The sequence below is a fragment of the Homo sapiens genome, chromosome 19 (assembly GCF_000001405.40).
Source record: "Homo sapiens chromosome 19, GRCh38.p14 Primary Assembly".
NCBI classification, from domain to species: domain Eukaryota; kingdom Metazoa; phylum Chordata; class Mammalia; order Primates; family Hominidae; genus Homo; species Homo sapiens.
The window spans coordinates 38,090,422-38,110,854 of NC_000019.10; the positions used below are offsets into that span (position 1 = coordinate 38,090,422).

Below are 20,433 nucleotides of genomic sequence, written 5' to 3' on the forward strand. Positions count from 1 at the left end.
TGTGATCAGGGGTGGTAGAGGAAACTGCCCGGTCTAGCATGTGTTACCCACCTTGGGTCCAGGGGCAGGGCCAGGCACTGTGATTGACAGTTCCACCAGAGCTCCCTGGAGGAGGAGGCAGGGCAGATCCTCAGCAAAAAGAGGGGACCCAGGGAAGCAGAAATGACAGAGAGGCCCAGAAGACCCAAATAAGGAAGACCTTTCAGAAAAGTGGCATTTGCCAGCTAGGCAGGCCCTCCAAAATGGGTCTCCCTCAGCCTGCATTGCCCCAGCCCCTTGGGCCTGGCCTTTGCCCAGACATGGACGCCTAGCAGGCTGAGGCTGCCAAGGACTTGACTGTGGGGCCAGCCAAGTCCTGGACCTCATCCAGGCTGGCAGATGCAGCTCGGAGTGCCCTCGCCCCATCCCCTGACCAAGACCTTCCCACTGAGTTGGGGGAATGGGATGGCATGGAGGCTTTGCAGTAGCCAGGAAGAGGCAGCCCTAAAGCCATGTGCGCCAAACCACAGGTGGTCACCAGCCTCTGTCTCCCCAGCCCTCTCCTCCCTCTACCCACCTTTCTGGCCAGATGAGCACCAGAGCAGAATGAGAGGTGACAGCTCACACTGCATCTGGCTGTTTTAGGACATATGGGCAACTGCTGGGTGGTGAAATGACGCCTACAGTCATATACTTATAAATAGGCTGGGTGCAGCGGCTCACACCTGTAATCCCAGCACTTTGGGAGGCCAAGGCAGGTGGGTCCCTTGAGCCCTGGAGTTCGAGACCAGCCTGGCCAATATGGTAAAACCCTGTCTGTACTAAAAACACAAAAATTAGCTGGGTATATTAGTGCACACTTGTAGTCTTAGCTGCTCGGGAGGCTGAGGCATGAGAATCTCTTGAACCCAGGAGGTAGAGGTTGTAGTGAGCCAAGATCACACCACTGGACTCCAGCCTGGGTGACACAGTGAGACTCGGTCTCAAAAATATATACATACACATATGTATATATAAAATATTTATTATGAAGGCTATTATTACTGCAAATCTCCTTTATACTGTGTGTCAGGCAATATTCTATACCTTTTATATCTATTAACTCACTTAAATCTCATCACGATTCTAGGGTGAAGACCCTGTTGTCCTCATTTACAGATGACAGAACAGGCACAGAGAGGTTAAGAGACTTGCCCAAAGCACCCTCCAGGGAGTGGCAGGGCAGGGTGCCTGCCTGTGTTCTGGCCGCCGCACTCGGCTGCCTCTGGGTTTTGACTAAGTCAGCTTAGACTGCACACTGGACCCACTCATGAGTTAGGAGCTCAACCAACTCAGTGCTAGCGTTTGTGTTTTTGTTCGTAATGAAAATACAATAGGCGGGGCGTGGAGGCTCACGTCTGTAATCCCAGCACTTTGGGAGGCTGAGGCGGGTGGATCACCCGAGGTCAGGAGTTCGAGACCAGACTGGCCAACATGGCGAAACCCTGTCTCTACTACAAATACAAAAAAAAAAATTAGCTAGGCATGGTAGCAGGTGACTATAATCCCAGCTTCTCAGGAGGCTGAGGCAGGAGAATCGCTTGAACCTGAGAGGTGGAGGTTGCAGTGAGCCAAGATCATTCCATTGCACTCCAGGCTGGGTGACACAGTGAGACTCCATCTCAAAAAAAAAAAAAAAAGAAAATACAATATATAGGCAGGCATGGTGGCTCACACTTGTAATCCCAGCATTTTGGGGTAAGAGGTTAAGACGGAAGGATTGCTTGAAGCCTGGAGTTCAAGACCAGCCTAGGCACCATAGTGATACCCGTGTCTCTAAAAAATAAAAAATACCAGACTATAGCATTAGGAGAAATACCTAATGTAAATGACAAGTTAATGGGTGCAGCAAACCAACATGGCACATGTAATACCTATGGAACAAACCTGCACGTTGTGCACATGTACCCTAGAACTTAAAGTATAATATTAAAAAAAAAAAAACCCAGACTATGTCACACATACTGAGAGTCGTGAGACTTTAGTGCATGGATACTGGGTTATATAATTTTTTGCTGTGATTTCCTGTTCACTAAGTTTGAAACTGGCTTGATGCCATTCCCAGTGTGTACCTGCTCCCGTCCACTTCCCACCCCCAGCACCTACAAAACTAGCCGTGGGGGACTCTGATCCATCCCTGATGACAGCACGGGGACTCTTTGAGTCTCACAGCCACAGGCCTGGGATCCATCCATTCCACAGACATTTGCTCAGCGTTCCCCCGTCCCAGCTCTATGCTGGGCATGGAGGGTACCGTAGCAAACAAGGCAGCAAAGATGCTCGTGAGACTGGGTGTTTGAGGGGGAGACAAAAGGACGCAGAACACCTTAGCAAATTATGCTGTAGGTGCTTCCCATGGTGACAAGGTGGGGGACAAAGCAAGGAGGAATGATGAGTGTGGCAGGTGCTTAGATTTTTTTTTTTTTTTTTTTTTTCCCGAGACGGAGTCTAGCTTTGTTCCCCAGGCTGGAGGGCAGTGGCGTGATCTCTGCTCACCACAAGCTCCGCCTCCCAGGTTCACGCCATTCTCCTGCCTCAGCCTCCTGAGTAGCTGGGACTACAGGCTCCCACTACCACACCCTGCTAATTTTTTGTATTTTTAGTAGAGACGGGGTTTCACTGTGTTAGGCAGGATGGTCTCAATCTCCTGACCTGGTGATCTACCCGCCTCAGCCTCCCAAAGTGCCGGGATTACAGGCATGAGCCACCACACCTGGCCCAGGTGCTTAGATTTTTAACAGGAAGGTCAAGGGAGGCATCACTGGGAAGGTAACACTGGAGTAAACCTAGAGGAGGGGAGAGGGAGCCGTGTGGACAACTGGAAGAAGAGCATTCCAGGCAGAGCGAACAGCCAGTGCAGAGGTCCTGAGGCGGAGCCATGCTCCGTGGGTTGGAGACGTCCTGTGAGTCCTAGTTTGACCACTCAGCAGTTCTAGAACCTTGGGCACATGGCTCCTTTCCTCTCAGAGCCTCAGTTTCCCCCTTGGAAATTCTCAGCTTACAGAACTGTGTTGTGGGCTCGGTGAGGTTGCACATACCAAGCAGGCAGTGGGGGACCTGACACTTGACTGGAAGTGATTATGATCGGCACCACTGTTGCAGCCGATGTTCCTTCCCAGGAGGTCAGAGCCCCATGCTGGGAAGCATAGGTTGAGCTCACGGATGGGGTTCTGTCCTTCTCATATCCACACACACACATGCCTTGGGGTCCTGTAAACCAGGGCATAGGGGCCAGAGCGAGAGGTCTGGGCTGCCTTCCAAGCCAGCCAGCCTGCCCCAGATGGCCGTCCCCAGCCGCCAAGCAGACAGTCTCGAGTGGACCTGCATCTCCCAGCAGATGGGATATGAGCATTGGCAGTGCCAGGCTCCCCACCAAGGCAGGAACAGACTTGGAGCTGGGCTTTGGCACTGCTTGTCCAAACCCCAGAGAGCCTGGACAGGGTGAGCGCCAGGCCAGGGCTGCCCTGTCTCAGGTCCCTTTGGCACTGTCTCACCCAGGACACTGGGGACAGAGTGGGGATGGCAACCAGCCAGGAACTGTGTGGCACCCCCCCACAAGGCCCAGTGGTTCTCATTGGCCTAGAACACGTGATTTTTGACAGGCTTTAGTTCTGATAGGGTTAGAGATTTGGGTTTTTATTTTATTGGTTTTTCTTTTTTATTTAAAAAGTACCAAACGCTCATTATTAAGAACTTAGACAATACATAAGTATGCAAAGTAGAAAAAGGAAAGTTTCATTAGTGAAAAAAGCAAGTGTGACCCCGTTTTTGTTCAATAGGTACATCTGACTGTGTGTGTGTCTGTGTGTATTTGCTTATTTATTTTTGAGACAAGGTCTTACTCTGTCCCCTGGGCTGAAGTGCAATGGTGCAGTCATAGCTCACTGCAGCCTCGAATTCCCGGGCTCAAGCGATCCTCCTGCCTCAGCCTCCCAAGTAGCTGAGACCACAGGCATGCACCACCATGCCTGGCTAATAATTTTGTTTTATTTTTAGAGACAGAATCTCACTATGTTGCCCAGGCTGGTCTTGAACTCCTGAGCTCAGGTGACCCTCCTCCTTTGGCTTCCCAAAATGCCGAGATTACAGGCATGAGCCACTGCACCTGGCTGTGTGTATGTTTAAATGAACAATCTCCAAAGCATATTGTTAAGTAGGGGGAAAAGCAAAAAAATGTAGCTTCCTGCTTAAGGTTAAAAAATTTAAAACTCAGCTAGGTGCAGTGGCTCACACCTGTAATCCCAGCACTTTGGGAAGCTGAGGCGGGAAGATTGCTTGAGCCCAGGAATTTGAGACCAACCTGGACAACGTAGCGAGACCCCATCTCTATTAAAAATAAATTAATTGCCAGGCGTGGTAGCTCACGCCTGTAATCCCAGCACTTTTGGAGGCCTACGCAGGTGGATCACCTGAGGTCAGGGGTTCGAGACCAGCCTGGTCAACATGGCAAAACTCCATCTCTACTAAAAATACAAAAATTAGCTGGGCATGGTGGCACACACCTGTAATCCCAGCTACCTGTAATCCCAGGAGGCTGAGGCAGGAGAATCACTTGAACCCAGGAGGCAGAGGTTGCAGTGAGCCAAAATCACACCATTGCATTCCAGCCTGGGCGACAAGAGCGAAACTCTGTCTCCAAAAACAAAATAAATAAAAAAGAAATAATATTTTTAAAACTATTAACTATGCATGTGGCTTTGTACATAAACATTTAACACACATCTACAGATAATAATGGTTAACACACATTGAGCTCTCACTCTGTACCCAAGATACAGCACTAAGCATTATGCACGGATCTTTTTGAATCCTTTCATTGCCTTGAGGCAGGCATTTTTATCCCCATTTTATCAATGAGGAAATAGGGAAATTAAGCGACTTGCCCAGAGTCACACAGCTAGGGAGGAGCTAGAGCTAGAATTCAAACCCAGGCAGACCACCTCCTAAGTAACCTCCTAGGAAATGTTCTTGAAGGGTACACCTGCCGCCCAGCACAGAGTCAAGCGGGGAGTACGTCTGAGTCAGGAGTGAGTGGGGATAACCTGTACCAGCTGGAACCTCCTTGTTTGCATGGTACTGTGTGCCTTTCACAGCTCACTTGATTTGTTGCCCTCGACTAGCTGATGCCAGATGTTTTCAGGCTCTGAGCAGAGGAAGGCTGTGATCTGACTCAGGCAGCTGTAGAAAGAATGGACTGGGGACAGGGCAGGGGCAGGGAGACCTGGAGGAGGCTGCTGTCCAGGTGGGAGGTGATGGTGGGGGTGACCAGGTGGAGAGTGAGGTGGCCACTCATGACCTGCCAGTGTCCCACTTACTGTCGCCAGTGCTGAAGGAGTTTTTCAAGTAGTGCGCGCCGATGAGGTGGTCAGAGCCAAAATGTGACTGTAAGTCACCCGTCTCCAGGGAGGAAGAAGGAAGATTTCTGGTCCGTGCTGTCCCTCGTTCCCAGCAGAGGGCACTGTGGGACAGTGTCAGTAGGATATAAAGACACTGATCCTGTTGGTCTTAACTGAAACCCACAACCCCAGGGCCACCCAGATTGACAGGGCAAAGCCCCCAACATCATTGCTTTTCATGATTGGTTTTGACACTACCGTGCTTGTGATAAGAGAGATTTGTTTGTTTGTTAATTACCGGGGCCAGAAGTGGGATCATTCTATTCCTTCCACACATGCCTCTCGCCCAGGTGCTCTTTGGTGAGGGTGGGTTGTGTGCTTAGAGGCGAAGTCATGACATGTTATTTTTGCCACCTCCTGTGTTTGTCGACTTAGGCAAGCATGTTTTTGCAGTTAATACTTATCCTCCTTAGTCTTTTTGTTGTTGTTGTTGAGATGGAGTCTCACTCTGTCGCCTAGGCTGGAGTGCAGTGGCACAATCTTGGCTCACTGCAACCTCCGCCTCCTGGGTTCAAGTGATTCTCCTGCCTCAGCCTCCTGAGTAACTGGGATTAGAGGCATGAGCCATCATGCCTGGCTAATTTTTCTATTTTAGTAGAGACAGGGTTTCACCACGTTGGCCAGGCTGGTCTCGAACTCCTGACCTAAAGTGATCCGCCCACCTCGACCTCTCAAAGTGCTGGGATTAGAGGTGTGAGCCACCGCACCTGGCCTCCTCCTTAGTCTTTAAACCACAGCCCCAAGTGTACTTTGGGTGCTTGTAACAAGCCCCCTGGAGAGGGATTTTTCTTTGTGCGTTCTTGGTGTGGTGCTGGTCCAGTGCATGGCATAACCTGGTGGCCAGCAGCATGCTGTGGCTACAAGCATGAGCTGGTATTAGTGAGGATGTGGAGCAGCAGGGGCTCTCAGACAGGGCTGGTGGGGTGTAAATTGGTACAACCACTTGGAAAACTGTTTGGCAGTTCAGTAAAATTGAAGATTAGCATGCCTGGTGATTTAGCAATTTCTATCCTAGGCATAAACCCAAAAGAAAAGGTGTTCGTGTGCACTGAGGTGCTTCTGTGAGGGTTCATAACAGCACTATTCACAGTTGGCAAATACTGGAAGCAGTTCTGGTGCTCATCAACAGTGAAAAGGAGTAAAACGTCAGCCTCTCGCAACAGCATAGCTGCAGCTCATATATGTAGCATTCAGAGAAAGAAGCTAGATAACAAAAGAATACAAACTGCCTGGCTGGGCGCAGTGGCTCACACCTGTAATCCTGGCACTTCAGGAGGCCGAGGCAGGAGGATCACTTGAGCCTAGGAGTTGCAGACCAGCCTGGGCAACATAGTGGGACTCTGTCTCTACAAAAAATATACAAAATTAGCCAGGCATGGTGGCACATGCCTATAGTCCCAGCTGCTCAGGAGGCTGAGGCAGGGGATCTCTTGCGCCCAGGAGGTCGAGGCTGCAGTGAACCATGATTGTGCCACTCCATTCCAGCCTGGGCAACAGAGTTAGACCCTGTCTTCAAAAGAAAAAAAGAATAAAAAAATACAAACTGCCTGAAGTTCAAAAATAGACAGATATAAATGATGGTGTTGAAAGTCAGGATAGAGTTAATTTTGAGGAAAAAGGGGTACAAATGGGCTGTGGGTGCTGGAAATACATTTCTTGATTTGGATAGTGATTACCCAGGTATTTGCTTTCTGATACTTTCTTTGGCCTCACATCTATGTGTTATGTACTTTTTTTTTAGACGGAGTTTCACTCTTGTTGCCCAGGCTGGAGTGCAATGGCACGATCTCAGCTCATTGCAACCTCCTCCTCCTGGGTTCAAGCGATTCTTCTGCCTCAGCCTCCCAAGTAGCTGGGATTACAGGCATGCGCCACCACGCCCGGCTAATTTTTGTATTTTTAGTAGAGACAGGGTTTCACCCATGTTGGTCAAGCTGGTCTCAAACTCCTGACCTCAGGTGATCTGCCCACCTCGGCCTCTCAAAGTGCTGGGATTACAGGTGTGAGCCACTGTGTCTGGCCTGTATACTTTATATATTTGGATATACCTCACCATACACATACCAAATATATATATCTCAAAACAAACCACGAGCTTCGGAGAAGTCAGGACTGGGTTGGAATCTTGGTTGCCATTTTGTCAGCTGTGGTGACCTTGGATAAGGCACGTAACCTCTTGGAACTTCAATTTGCTTCTCTGTAAATCAGAGATAAAACCTCCCTTGAATAGACCTATACATACAGTTATTACTATAGTACCTGGAGCACAGTGCAGTGAACTGCACCTTCATAAATGTGACTTGTTATTAAGGTATATAAGTTAGACATTTATTTGGCTGCAAAGCGATAGAAAACCTGACTACCAGTAGCTAAAACAAAGGGAGGTTACTTTAATCATCTAATAAGTCTGGACGTAGGCAGCTGCAAGGATTAACTTCTGTGACTTTTTGTTGTCTCTTTCCTCATGATTGCAATCTGGCTGCCACAGCTCCAAACATTTCATTCTCATACCACTGCCCATCACACAAAGAAGTGGGCAGGTGGAAAGGGGCTTTCATTTTTTTTTTTTTTTTTTTTTTGAGACAGTCTCGCTCTGTCACCCGGGCTGGAGTGCAATGGCACAATCTTGGCTCACTGCAACCTCCGCCTCCCAGGTTCAAGCAATTCTCCTGCCACAGCCTCCTGAGTAGCTGAGATTACAGGCATGCACCACCAGGCCCAGCTAATTTTTGTATTTTTAATGGAGACAGGGTTTTGCCATGTTGGCCAGGCTGGTCTCAAACTCCTGACCTCAAGTGGTCCGCCCGCCTCGGCCTCCCAAAGGGGGCTTTCCTTTTATTAGAGGGAAATCTGCCCCAGAAGTCCTCACCAAGCACAATTCTCCTCATATCTCATTGCCTGGAATTGATCACATGGTTGCCTATAGGAAAAACTTGGGAAGCAACATCTGGGGAATGGGAATGAGATGGCTGTGATTGGCTTTGACTAAAGGTTTTCATCCCTGACTGCACATCAGAAGCACCTGAGAAGGATTAAAAATATGCCATGTATGCAAACATGCATGTCTGGCCCCATCCCAGACCAACCAAATTAGAATCACTGGTGGTGTCTTGTCTTGTCTTGTCCTTTTCTTTTCTTTTCCCTTCTCTTCTCTTCTCTCTTTCCTACCCTCCCTCCTTTCTTTTCTTCTCTTCTCTTCTTCTTTTCTTTTCTTTTCTCAGACTGAGTGTTGCTCTGTTGCCCAGACTGGAGTGCAGTGGCGCGATCTTGGCTCACTGCAACCTCCGCCTCCTGGGTTCAAGTGATTCTTCTGCCTCAGCCTCCCAAGTAGCTGGGATTACAGGTGCATGCCACCATGCCTGGCTAATTTTTATATTTTTAGTAGAGATGGGGTTTCACCATGTTGGCCAGGGTGGTCTTGAACTCCTGACCTCAAGTGATCCGCCCACCTTGGCCTCCCCAAAGTGCTGGGGTTACAGGTGTGAGCCACCCACGCCTGGCCTTTTTTTTTTTTTTTAAATGAAACTGGTCTGAAACCAGTGCCACAGTTCAAGATCCAAGATGATGCCAGTATTCAAGGCAGGTGGGTGTTTTACTTGAGCATTTACAGTAATGTGTACATAATACAGTGTTACTGTAATAATGACAAGAGCCCACCTCCTGGTAGGACCTGTTTTCTTCATTATACTCCCTACTGCCTTACATAATTCATCTCCCCCATTCCAGTGTCAGCTCCACAAGGACAAGGGTCTTTGTTCATTGCACCTAGAGTAGGACTCAGTGCCTCACAGGAGGCACTCAGCCAGTATATGTTGAACAAATGAAGGTAGTTTACATTATTGTCTCATTTAATCCTCCCAACACCCCTTCAAGGTTACGATACCATCCTGTACCCATTTCACAAAAGAGCAAGCTGAGGCTCAGAGATATGAAGTCACTTGGTCAAGACCGCACAGCCAGGAGGCAGCAGGTTCAAGTTCTGGCTCAGACTTAGGGCTTTCTGACCTTAGAGCACAAACTTCCAATCATCACACATGTCTCTTTCAAAACAAGATACCTCTGCTATGCTCTTATCCCTTTTTAGGTCTCGAGAGCCCCCTAACCTTCCCTTCTCTCCCTTGAGTAGCTCATCACCCTGCGGGGCTCCATCCTGGAAGATGCTACGCCCACAGCCACCAAGCATGGGACCGGGCGGGGCCTGCCCTTGAAGGATGCCCTGGAGTATGTCATCCCCGAGCTCAACATCCACTGCCTGCGGCTGGCCCTCAACACCCCCAAGGTGACGGAGCAACTGCTGAAGCTCGATGAGCAAGGGGTGAGTCAGGGGCTGGAGGTGGGGGTGCTGCTGGGGCAGTACCTTGCAACCCCACTCCTGGTAGCTTTTTCTATCTTGGTCACTTTCTTTTTTCTTTGCAAGTAACAGAAACCTACTTAAGCTGGTTTCAGCAAAAGGAGGGATTCAAATCAAATTCTAGTGGTGCCAAGAGCAAGAATGTAACTGGGTCTCCTAAAGGAGGGAGATTGTCTGGGGGTGAGATAGCTGCTAGGTCCCCATGTGTGCATGCATATATGTGTCTATAGTGGGGGGTTAGTGTGTCTTTCCTCCCCGCTCCACATGCTGGCTCCCTCTGCTTCTCTTGCCTCTCCCACAGCTCCCAGTCTGTTAGAATTACAGCCACATGCAGACCCCAGCAGGCTGACCCTGGTCACAGGAGAGCCATCGATTGGGCTATGGCGTAGGTCAGGTGGCTGTCCATGGCCCAGTCACCAGTGACCAGGGGGATCCGGGATACCTAAAGCAAACATAGTTATTGGGAGCCCACTCCCTAAAAAAGGTATTGACTATAAGCCTTGAGCCCTCCAGATTTTGCTTTTGCAGAATCTCAGCCCATCCCAGTCCACCTACTGTGGGATGCCGGCCAAGGCAACAGTCTCTTTCATGCAAGTGTGGCATCACCAGCCGTCCTCCACCCGCCATAGCGAGAAGAGGCGGCCTGGATACCTCGTTGTGCTTCTCTGGAGTGGAAGGGAGGGGGAGGGACAACTGGGACATGCTGCCATGCCCCAACACTGTTTTCCCCTGTCTGGCTATGGCTCTGGGTTCCCGAGTGGTCCCAGCAGCTCCCAGGGCCTCAGGCCTCAGACATACCCCTTGCTCCCTTCCCTCTGCCATCTCTGCCTGGCCTGCCTCCACAAAGCCACTCTTGCCTCTGCAGCTCTGCCGGAAGCACAAGGTGGGCATCCTCTATTGCAAGGCCGGCCAGAGCTCCGAGGAGGAGATGTACAACAATGAGGAGGCCGGCCCCGCCTTTGAGGAGTTCCTCTCCCTCATCGGCGAGAAGGTCTGCCTGAAGGGCTTCACCAAGTACGCTGCCCAGCTGGACGTCAAGAGTAAGTAGGGGGCCGGTTAGATCACAGTGAGCCACCACTGCACTCCTACTCAACAGGCAAAGCTTAAAAGGCCTGGGGATGCCACGGTGGGGACGTGGAGCAGTGGGAGCTCTCAGACTTCACTTGTAGGAGCACAAATAAGTGCAGCCACTTTATTTTTTCGTGTTGTTGTACTTGTTGTTGTTGTTGTTGTTGTTTTTGAGACAGAGTCTCACTCTGTGGCCCAGGCTGGAGTGCAGTGGCATGATCCCATCTCACTGCAACCTCTACCTCCCAGGTTCAAGCAAGATTCTCCTGCCTCAGCCTCCCAACTAGCTGTGACTACAGGTGTGCACCACCACACTTGGCTAATTTTTGTATTTTTAGTAGAGACAGGCTTTCACCGTGTTGGCCAGACTGGTCTCGAACTCCTGACCTCAAGTGATCCACCCACCTCAGCCTCTCAAAGTGTTGGGATTACAGGCATGAGCCACCACGCCTGGCCATGTGCAGCCACTTTGGAAAACAGTACAGCACATTCAAGTCCAGTTTGAAGAGACGCTGCTCTGTGACTCAGCTCCTGCACTCCTAGGTATGCACTCTGTCTAATGTGCACGTGCATGGCAGGAGAGGACTGAATATCCCTAACCACCGGCACCTCGGTGCACCCAGTGCACACTGGCAGAGTTGCGCCGTGTTCACCCAGAGGAGATGAACTGGCACCACAGGCATCAGCGTGGAAGAGAGCCACATGCTTCGTGCTGCGCAAAGACAGCAAGCCTCAGAAGAGTGGGACCTGAATGATGTCTTTTACATAACAATTTTTTTCTTTTCTTTTCTTTTCTTTTTTTTTTTTTTTTTGAAACAGTCTGCCTCTATTGCCTAGGCTGGAGTGCAGTGGCGCAATCTCAGCTCACTGCAACCTCCGCCTCCTAGGTTCAAGGAGTTCTCCTGCCTCAGCGTCCCAAGTAACTGGGATTACAGGCATGAGCCATCACTCCCTGCTAGTTTTTGTATTTTTAGTAGAGATGGGGATTTACTATATTGGCCAGGTTGGTCTTGAACTGCTGACCTCGTGATCTGCCCACCTCGGCCTCCCAAAGTGCTGAGATTACAGGCGTGAGCCACCACACCTGGCCAATTATTATTTTTTATAGAGACAAGGTCTTGCTATGTTACCCAGACTGGTCTCAAACACAAGGCCTCCAGGGATCCTTGGCCTCCCAAAGTGCTGGAACTACACACATGAGCCACTACACCTGGCAAAAAGGTCCAGCAGGATGACTCACACCTGTAATCCCAACATTTTGGGAGGCCAAGGAAGGAGGATTGCTTTAGGCCAGGTGTTCAAGACCAGCTTGGGCAAAAAAGCAAGACCCTGTCTCTGAAAAAAAAAAAAAAAAAAAAGCAAAAACAAAAACCCAGCAATATATTGTTGGTGGATATGCTCTTACACAGTGGAACTCTAAAGAAAAACAGAGCCAAGCGTGGTGGCTCATGCCTGTGATCCCAGCACTTTGGGAGGCTGAGGCGGGTGGATTGCTTGAGCCTGGGAGTTTGAGACTGCAGTGAGCTATGATCATGCCACTACACTCCAGCCCGGATGACAAAGCAAGGCCCCATCTCAAGAATAAATAGGCCGGGCATGGTGGCTCATGCCTGTAATCCCAGCACTTTGTGAGGCCGAGGCGGGTGGATCACCTGAGGTCAGGAGTTCGAGACCAGCCTGGCCAAAATGGTGAAACCCCATCTCTACTAAAAATACAAAAAAATTAGCTGGGCGTGGTGGTTCACGCCTATAATCCCAGCTACTTGGGAGGCTGAGGCGAATCGCTTGAACCCGGGAGGCAGAGGTTGCAGTGAGCCAAGACCGCACCATTGCACTCCAGCCTGGGCAACAGAGCAAGACTCCGTCTCAATCAATCAGTAGAAAAAAAAAAAAAACAAGGGAATACTGGAGACAATATGCAGGATAGTGGTTGGCTGTCTGGGGAGAGGTGGGTGTGTCTAGGAAACGGTGCTCACGTTAGAGTGTGGGTAGTGGTCTTTTTCTTAAGGTGGTATCACATAGGACGTATTTGTTGCAGCAGTCTCTGTGCTTATCATGTGTATGTGTACATAAATATATATGATATATGGGGCTGGGCGCAATGGCCCACGCCTGTAATCTCAACACTTTGGGAGGCTGAGGCAGGTGGATCACCTGAGGGCAGGAGTTCGAGACCAGCCTGGCCAACGTAGTGAAACCCCGTCTCTACTAAAAATACAAAAATGTAACCAGGTGTGGTGGCACATGCCTGTAATCTCAGCTACTTGGGAAGCTGAGGCAGGAGAATTGCTTGAGCCTGGGAGGCAGAGGTTGCAGTGAGCTGAGATCACACCACTGTACTCGAGCCTGGGCAACAAGAGCAAAACTTCATCTCAAAAAAAAAAAAGGGGCCGGGCGCGGTGGTTCACGCCTGTAATCTTAGCACTTGGGAGGCCAAGGTGGGCGGATCATGAGGTCAGGAGATCGAGACCATCCTGGCTAACAGGGTGAAACACCGTCTCTACTAAAATACAGGCGAGCGCCTGTAGTCCCAGCTACTCTGGAGGCTGAGGCAGGAGAATGGCGTGAACCCGCAAGGTGGAGCTTGCAATGAGCCGAGATCGCACCACCGCACTCCAGCCTGGGCGATACAGCGAGACTCCATATCAAAAAAAAAAAAAAAAAAAAGGAAAGAAAAAAATATATATATGTATATGATATATAGGATTGAAATGTTTCATGAGAAGTAGCTGGGTGGGTGGATGGGTAATGTTCACAGGTGTCACAGCTCCCTGGGGAATGGACTACCACTGTCCTTGGGAGTGGGTTTTCGTCAGCTGGGAGTGAGAAGGCCCCAAGATGGCTCAGTCAGACATTGCTCTTCCCCACACCTCGCCAAGACTCGGTTTGCTCTTCTAGAAAACAAAACAGAAGCCCAGATCAGGAGACAAATCTTAGAGAGAGAAGTGAGGTGTTAGGCAGGTGTCTGGGGCCATCATCACCTTCCCCTGCTCCTCCGCTGAAGGAGGCTGTAGGAGGAACGAGCATGTTATTATGCCATTTGCTAGTTTCGTGATCTTGGACAGGTGGCTTTGCCTCTCTCGACCTCAGTTTCCTCATCTGTAGAGTGAAGGTAATAATTGCGCTTATCTTGGAAGCATGGTGAGGGTTCCGTGGGTCAGCTTTGCCCCAAACATCCTGAGCCCTCCCTCTGTGCCGAGTGCTTCCCAGAGCTCCGCCAGCGTGGGTGTCCCCCTAGGTGGGCGGGGAGGCAGCAGGCCTCCCTGGGCTCACCTGGCGTGGAGGAAGCTGGCAGGTGTGAGTGTTAGTATTGGTTTTTTTGTTTTTTTGTTTTTTTGAGACAGTCTCGCTCTGTCACCCAGGCTGGAGTGCATTAGAACGATCTTGGCTCACTGCAACCTTCACCTCCTGGTTTCAAGGGACTCTCCCACCTCAGCCTCCTGAATAGCTAGGATTACAAGCACGTGCCACCAGACCCAACTAATTGTGTACTTTTAGTAGAGATGGGGTTTCACCGTGTTGGCCAAGCTGGTCTTGAACTCCTGACCTCAGGTGATCCACCCACCTCGGCCTCCCAAAGTGCTAGGATTACAGGTGTGAGCCACCGCGCCTGGCCAGGAAGTGGGTTCTCTTAGAGGACCCCAGGAAGCATAGTGCTCCTGGAATGAGTTTCCCCAAATTACAGGCAAGAATGGCCCTGGCTTGAGCAGATACCTGGGTGTTACCCGGCTCCCAACCTGGCTCTGGCACTGGCAGCTGTGGCCTCAGTGTCCCCGCCAGACACTGAGGCAGCATTGAATATTATTAAGAACAGATCTGGAGGCCAGGCACAGTGGCTCACGCCTGTAATCCCAGCACTTTGGGAGGCTGAGGCAGGTGGATCACCTGAGGTCAGGGGTTCAACCAGCCTGGGCAATGTGGTGAAACCCCATCTCTACTAAAAATACTAAAATTACTAAAATTATCCAGGCATGGTGGCAGGCACCTGTAATCCCAGCTACTCAGGAGGCTGAAGCAGGAGAATTGCTTGAACCCAGGAGGCAGAGGTTGCAGAGAGCCCACATTGCGCCATTGCTCTCCAGCCTAGGTGACAGAGTGAAACTCTGTCTCAAAAAAAAAAAAAAGAACAGATCTGGAATCCAACAGCCTGAGTACTGGTCCAGACGCTACCACTCAGTACAGTGTGACCTTGGGAAGGCACTCCCTCTCCATGCCTCAGTTTCCCACTCTGAAACATGGGCTCAGTAAGCAGGTTTGCCTCTTCCTAGCCATAACCCTCCCTCCTATTAGAGAGAACTCATATCCTGATGCTCAATGATAACCATTTCTTTGCTTTTCTTCATAGTTTTGCTACTTACCTACACATCCCTGACTGGTATAATCTGACCTGCTTTTGCATGTCACATGAATGGGATCACACTGTGTGTGCTGCTTTGTGTCAGCATCTTTCACTCAACATTTAGAGGATTTCCCCATGCTGCAGCCGCGACTCATTCCTTTTCCTGGCTGTATATTTTTCCACAGTGTGAATTGACCAGTGTGTTCACCCATTCTTTTGACTGACGCTTGAAGATTCTTGTACCCATATCCCAGGACACGTGTGCATGATTTCTCTGGGCTGTGGTCCAAGGAAAGGAAGTGCCAGGTTATCAATTAAGCCTATCTTCAGGTATAAGAGAGATTGCTAAAAAGTTTTCCAAAGTGCTTGTACCAAGTTACACACCTAACCAGCCACCTCAAGGGTTCCATTTGCTCCACATCCTCGCCAACCATTGGTGCTGTCAGACTTTTTAATTTTTACCAGTCTGGTGGGTACATAGCAATGGGGTTTCCTTTTTATCTAAATGTATTTAATTTTTTTTTTTTTTTTGAGACAGAGTCTAACCCTGTCTCCCAGGCTGGAGTGCAGTGGCGTGATCTCGGCTCGCTGCAACCTCCGCCTCCCGGGTTCAAGCGATTCTCCTGCCTCAGCCTCCCGAGTAGCTGGGACTACAGGCACCCGCCACCAGGCCTGGCTAATTTTTGTGCTTTTAGTAGAGACGGGGTTTCACCATGTTGGCCAGGCTGGTCTCGAACTCCTGACCTCAGATGATCCACCTGCCTCAGCCTCCCAAAGTGCTGGGATTATAGGTGTGAACCACCAGGCCTGGCCAGTGTATTTAATTTTTAAGAGTAGATTGAAGTGAAAGCACCAAGTTAAAAACCAGCACAGATGGTACGTGGGATATGGCAAAAACCCAGAGGTTTTGGAAACATGGTCCTAACTGGCATTTCTGTTTCAGCCGACTCCACGGGAACCCACTCCCTCTACACGATGTACCAGGACTACGAGATCATGTTCCATGTCTCCACCCTGCTCCCTTACACCCCCAACAACAGGCAGCAGGTCAGTGATTTTCAGCAGAGGCACGGCTGCCGGATGTTGGCTGCCCACCCACCAGCATTGGCCCTCCCAGTTCTGTCCTGTGGATCATATGGAGGCCCTTGACCTTGGAGGCCATCTTTACTATGGTCACTTTCCCTGGGGGTTAGAGAGCAGCCCAGGTGTGGTTCGAGATGTCACTTTGGCCCCAGTCTTTCCTGCTGCTTCTTGGGCGCCCTGCCCAGCCCCAGCTAGCCCGACGCCCCTCCAGGGCCTCTTGAGTCATCACTGGTCTTAAGAAGAAGAGTGAATCAGTCAACATTATTTTGACTGCAAGTAACAGAAACTCACACCAAACTGGCTTAACTAGAAAAAGAGATTTATGGGTTATATAACTCTAAGATTGTAGAGAGGGCTGGCCTCAGGTCTGGTTGGATCCAGGGACTCCAACAATATTAGGAATCCTTCCCCATTTCTCACCTCCACTTTTCTTTACAGCAGCTTTATTCACAGGTGCAAAGCAAAGATACCTCCTAGCAGCCCTAGGCTCACATCCACCAGCTTAGCCACCTCAGCAGAAAGAGTGCTGTTTTTTCCAGTTGTCCCAGAAGTGTTTCAGAGCTGAGTCTCATTGGACTATTCACATGCCAGTCTTGGGGCCTGGGGTAGGGGTGGAAAGGGCAGACTGGCCAAGCCCGAGGCTCATGCCCAACCCTAGAGAGGGTGAGTGGTGCCAGCTCAACTTGAAACGGATGGAGGTTGGGGAGGTGCTTTCCTGAACTGGGTGGGTGTGGCTGCCAGCAGGAGGCAGGGATACCAGGTGGGCAGCGCCACCAAACACTCATTGCCAAGAGGCTGCAGCTGTGACCCGGCTCCTCTCTTGGACCCACCTTGCAGGCTGGGCCCACAGAGCAATTCTTCCAGTTCCTAATGAACAGAAGCCCCAGAGTGCTGACAGTTTAGGAAGTAAGTGTACGTATTTTCCCAGTTGGCACAAGTGACTTTGTAGGCCAAAAATGCTCAAATATTGATTTCCTAAGGTTCATCTAAAAACATGCTATTAAGAGCTTTGGTCTTAGGCCAGGCTTGGTGGCTCATGCCTGTGATCCCAGCACTTTGGGAGGCTGAGGCAGGCGGATCACCTGAGGTCGGGAGTTTGAGACCAGCCAGGCCAATATGGTGAAACCCCATCTTTACTAAAAATACAAAAATTAGCTAGGCATGGTGGCGTGTGCCTATAGTCCCAGCTACTCAGGAAGCTGAGGCATGAGAATTGCTTGAACCCAAGAGGCAGTGGTTGCAGTGAGCTGAGATCATGCCATTGCACTCCAGCCTGGGCAACAGAGCAAGACTCTGTCTCAAAAGAGAAAAAAAAGCAAAAAAAAAAAGCGCTTTGATCTCAGAATTAGACCTGAATTTGAGTTCTTTCTTGGCTACTTCCTAGCTGTGTGATCTCAGGTAAGTGATCTCACCTCTCTGGGCCTTGAGTCCCTGCTGTGTAAAATGGGTATAATCGTAGTGCCCCTGAATCAGGGTCATTGAGAAAGGTCCATATACTCCTGCGGCAACCGGAGCGTGACAGGGCCCGACACACAGGAGGGGCGCAGAGAGCAGTGCCTTTTCCTGAGTATGTGGGAGGGGCGCTGGGGAAAAGCTTGAGTCGTAGAGTTAAGAAGTGGGTTAGAATCCAGGCTCTTTCCCTCCATCACTATGTGACTTAGGTAAAATTACTTAACCTCTGTGAGCCTAAGTTTTCTCATCTGTAAAATGGGGCAAAATGAGTTAACGCCTCTCGGGGTTGTTAAGAGATTCATTGAGATGATGAATTGAAGATAAGGCTGTGCAGTGTTTAGTACAGGACCAGCCACAGTCAATAGCTGCTTTAGCGATTTGATTTAATGCCACTTAAAACTCACATAAAGAACTAACCATTCAACAGTAGGAGTTGAGCTGCAAAGCGTGTCTGGAGTTCACACTGTGAGCCATGTCACTTAGAGCTCCGTGGGACTCCCGTCCATGGATCTCCTGCATTGGCAGATTCTTTAACAGCTACATGAATGCTAGAACTGTGTAAATAAGAACAATATAATAGGCTGGGCTTGGTGGCTCACACCTGTAATCCCAGCACTTTGGGAGGCTGAGGCGGAGAGATCACCTGAGGTCAGGAGTTCGAGGCCATCCTGACCAACATGGAGAAACCCTGTCTCTACTAAAAATACAAAATTAACTGGGCGTGGTGGCGCATGCCTGTAATCCCAGCTACTCAGGAGGCTGAGGCAGGAGAATCACTTGAACCCAGGAGGTGCAGGTTGCAGTGAGCCGAGATCGCACCATTGCACTCCAGCCTGGGCAACAAGAGTGAAACTCAGTCTCCAAAAAAAAAAGAAAAAAGAAAAAGAACAATATAATCTCAGCAAATAAGCCAAACACTGTGAATACGGCGTCACCTGTGAAGATAACAGAGTCTTCCTCGGAGACTGACCAGCAGGGGAGAGGTGTATTAGTCCATTTTCACACTGCTAATGAAGATTTACCCAAGACTGGGTAGTTTATAAAGAAAAAGAGGTTAAATGGACTCACAGCTCCACATGGCTGGGGAGGCCTCACAGTCATGGCAGAAGGCAAAGAAGAACCAAAATCACATCTTCCATGGTGGCAGGCAAGAGAGCTTGTGCAGGGGAACCACACTTTTATAAAACCATCAGATCTCGTGAAACTTATTTACTATCACGAGAACAGCATGGAAAAGACCCACCCCTATGATTCAGTTACCTCCCACCAGGTCCTTCCCACGACATGTGGGAATTATGGGAGCTGCAATTCAAGATGAATTGTAGGGTGTGGACACAGCCAAACCATATCAGAGGGTGAGAGTCCCATAGGGCACTCGGAAGCCACAGCCATCCTGACCTCAGTCAGGGTCCAGGGAAGGGGTGGCGCCTATAACTGGCCCTGCCAGTGACCTGGGATCTGACTCTGCCATTGTCCATGGGTGTGGCTTTGAGCAAGTTGAAGACCACCAGCCTGTGCTCTCTGGATCTTACTTATTGAGTACCTCCTGTATGCCAGGCACTGTGCTGGGTACTGAGGATACAGCAGTTGGCCGTGAACAAAATCCCTGTTCTCATGGAGCTGCCACTTCAATGGGAAGAGACAAGAAACAAAATGAAGTGGGGAAAGCCATCTCTGCTGAGTGTCAATAAGTGTTAAGTAATGGGGACAGAAAAGCAAAGATCAGGGAGTGTTGTGGTGGGGTGGATCTGAATAACGTAGTCAGCAAAGGCCTCCCTGGGAGGGTGAGGTTTATGCAAGACCAGAAGAGGTGACGAAGGAAGCCATGTGGGGACTCAGGAAGAATGTTCCTAGCAGAGGGAACAGCGGTGCAGAGGCTTCGAGGAAGTGTTTCTGGCCATGGTGAGGCCTTTGTCCTTTATCCTGAATGAGAGGGAACCACAGGAAGGTTTGTCACCTGACTCGGGCATTCCTTGGGCTGTGTGTGAGCAGGGAGTGGGAATGGGGGTGGGTGGGGGGAGCTGTGGCAGTGGTCCAGGCAGGACCCGTCAGGCCGACCTGTGACAGGTTCCTGTCCCCCTCTGTTGCCCTTTCCCAGCTGCTACGGAAGAGGCACATAGGAAATGACATCGTGACGATCATCTTCCAGGAGCCTGGCGCGCTACCGTTCACCCCCAAGAACATCCGCTCCCACTTCCAGCACGTCTTCATCATTGTCCGAGTCCACAACCCCTGCACTGATAACGTCTGTTACAGGTATGCCCCCCACACCCGGCCCCCAGCAGCGTATGGAGAGAGGGGCAGGCAGCTGGCCCAAGTGGGTCCCAGTACAGGGCCCCCCCACACCTCACGTTGTGCTTCAGGAGAAGAGCTCGGCGTATACTCCCCACACCATCTCAGAGAGTGGTTTTTAGCCAGAAAGGGGCATGGCTCCCCACTTTTGCTAAGGAAACCATCAGGGATTTGTATTTGCTTGTAATCTTTTGTTTCAAGTGACAGAAAACCCATGTCAATGTGGCTTAAGACAAAAAGACAGTTGTGTATATAGGCTCTCAAAAGTGGCACCTTTAGGCCTGGCTGGATCTGCCACCGCCCTCCTGGGGGTCACCTTTCCAGCAGGTCTGAGGTGAACATCCTACCAGCTGCAAATCCCCCAAAATGAGAGCTTTTCTTTCCCAAGAGTTGCATCAGAAGCCCCAGAATTGGGGCTCACTGGCCCAGTTGGA

At 50.1% G+C, this 20,433-nt stretch overlaps 1 protein-coding gene across 8 annotated transcripts in view; it reads left to right on the plus strand.

The window, feature by feature from the left end:
- The window catches only part of SIPA1L3 (signal induced proliferation associated 1 like 3), a 301,162-nt gene that overhangs the window by 183,214 nt on the left and 97,515 nt on the right, over positions 1–20,433 (plus strand). For all 8 annotated transcript variants that reach the window (XM_047438486.1, NM_015073.3, XM_017026518.3 and 5 more), the window contains 4 exons: positions 9,541–9,729; positions 10,631–10,805; positions 16,116–16,219; positions 19,806–19,963. In XM_047438486.1, the coding sequence (XP_047294442.1) occupies positions 9,541–9,729; positions 10,631–10,805; positions 16,116–16,219; positions 19,806–19,963 (626 nt within the window). The remainder of the gene's footprint in view (positions 1–9,540; positions 9,730–10,630; positions 10,806–16,115; positions 16,220–19,805; positions 19,964–20,433) is intronic.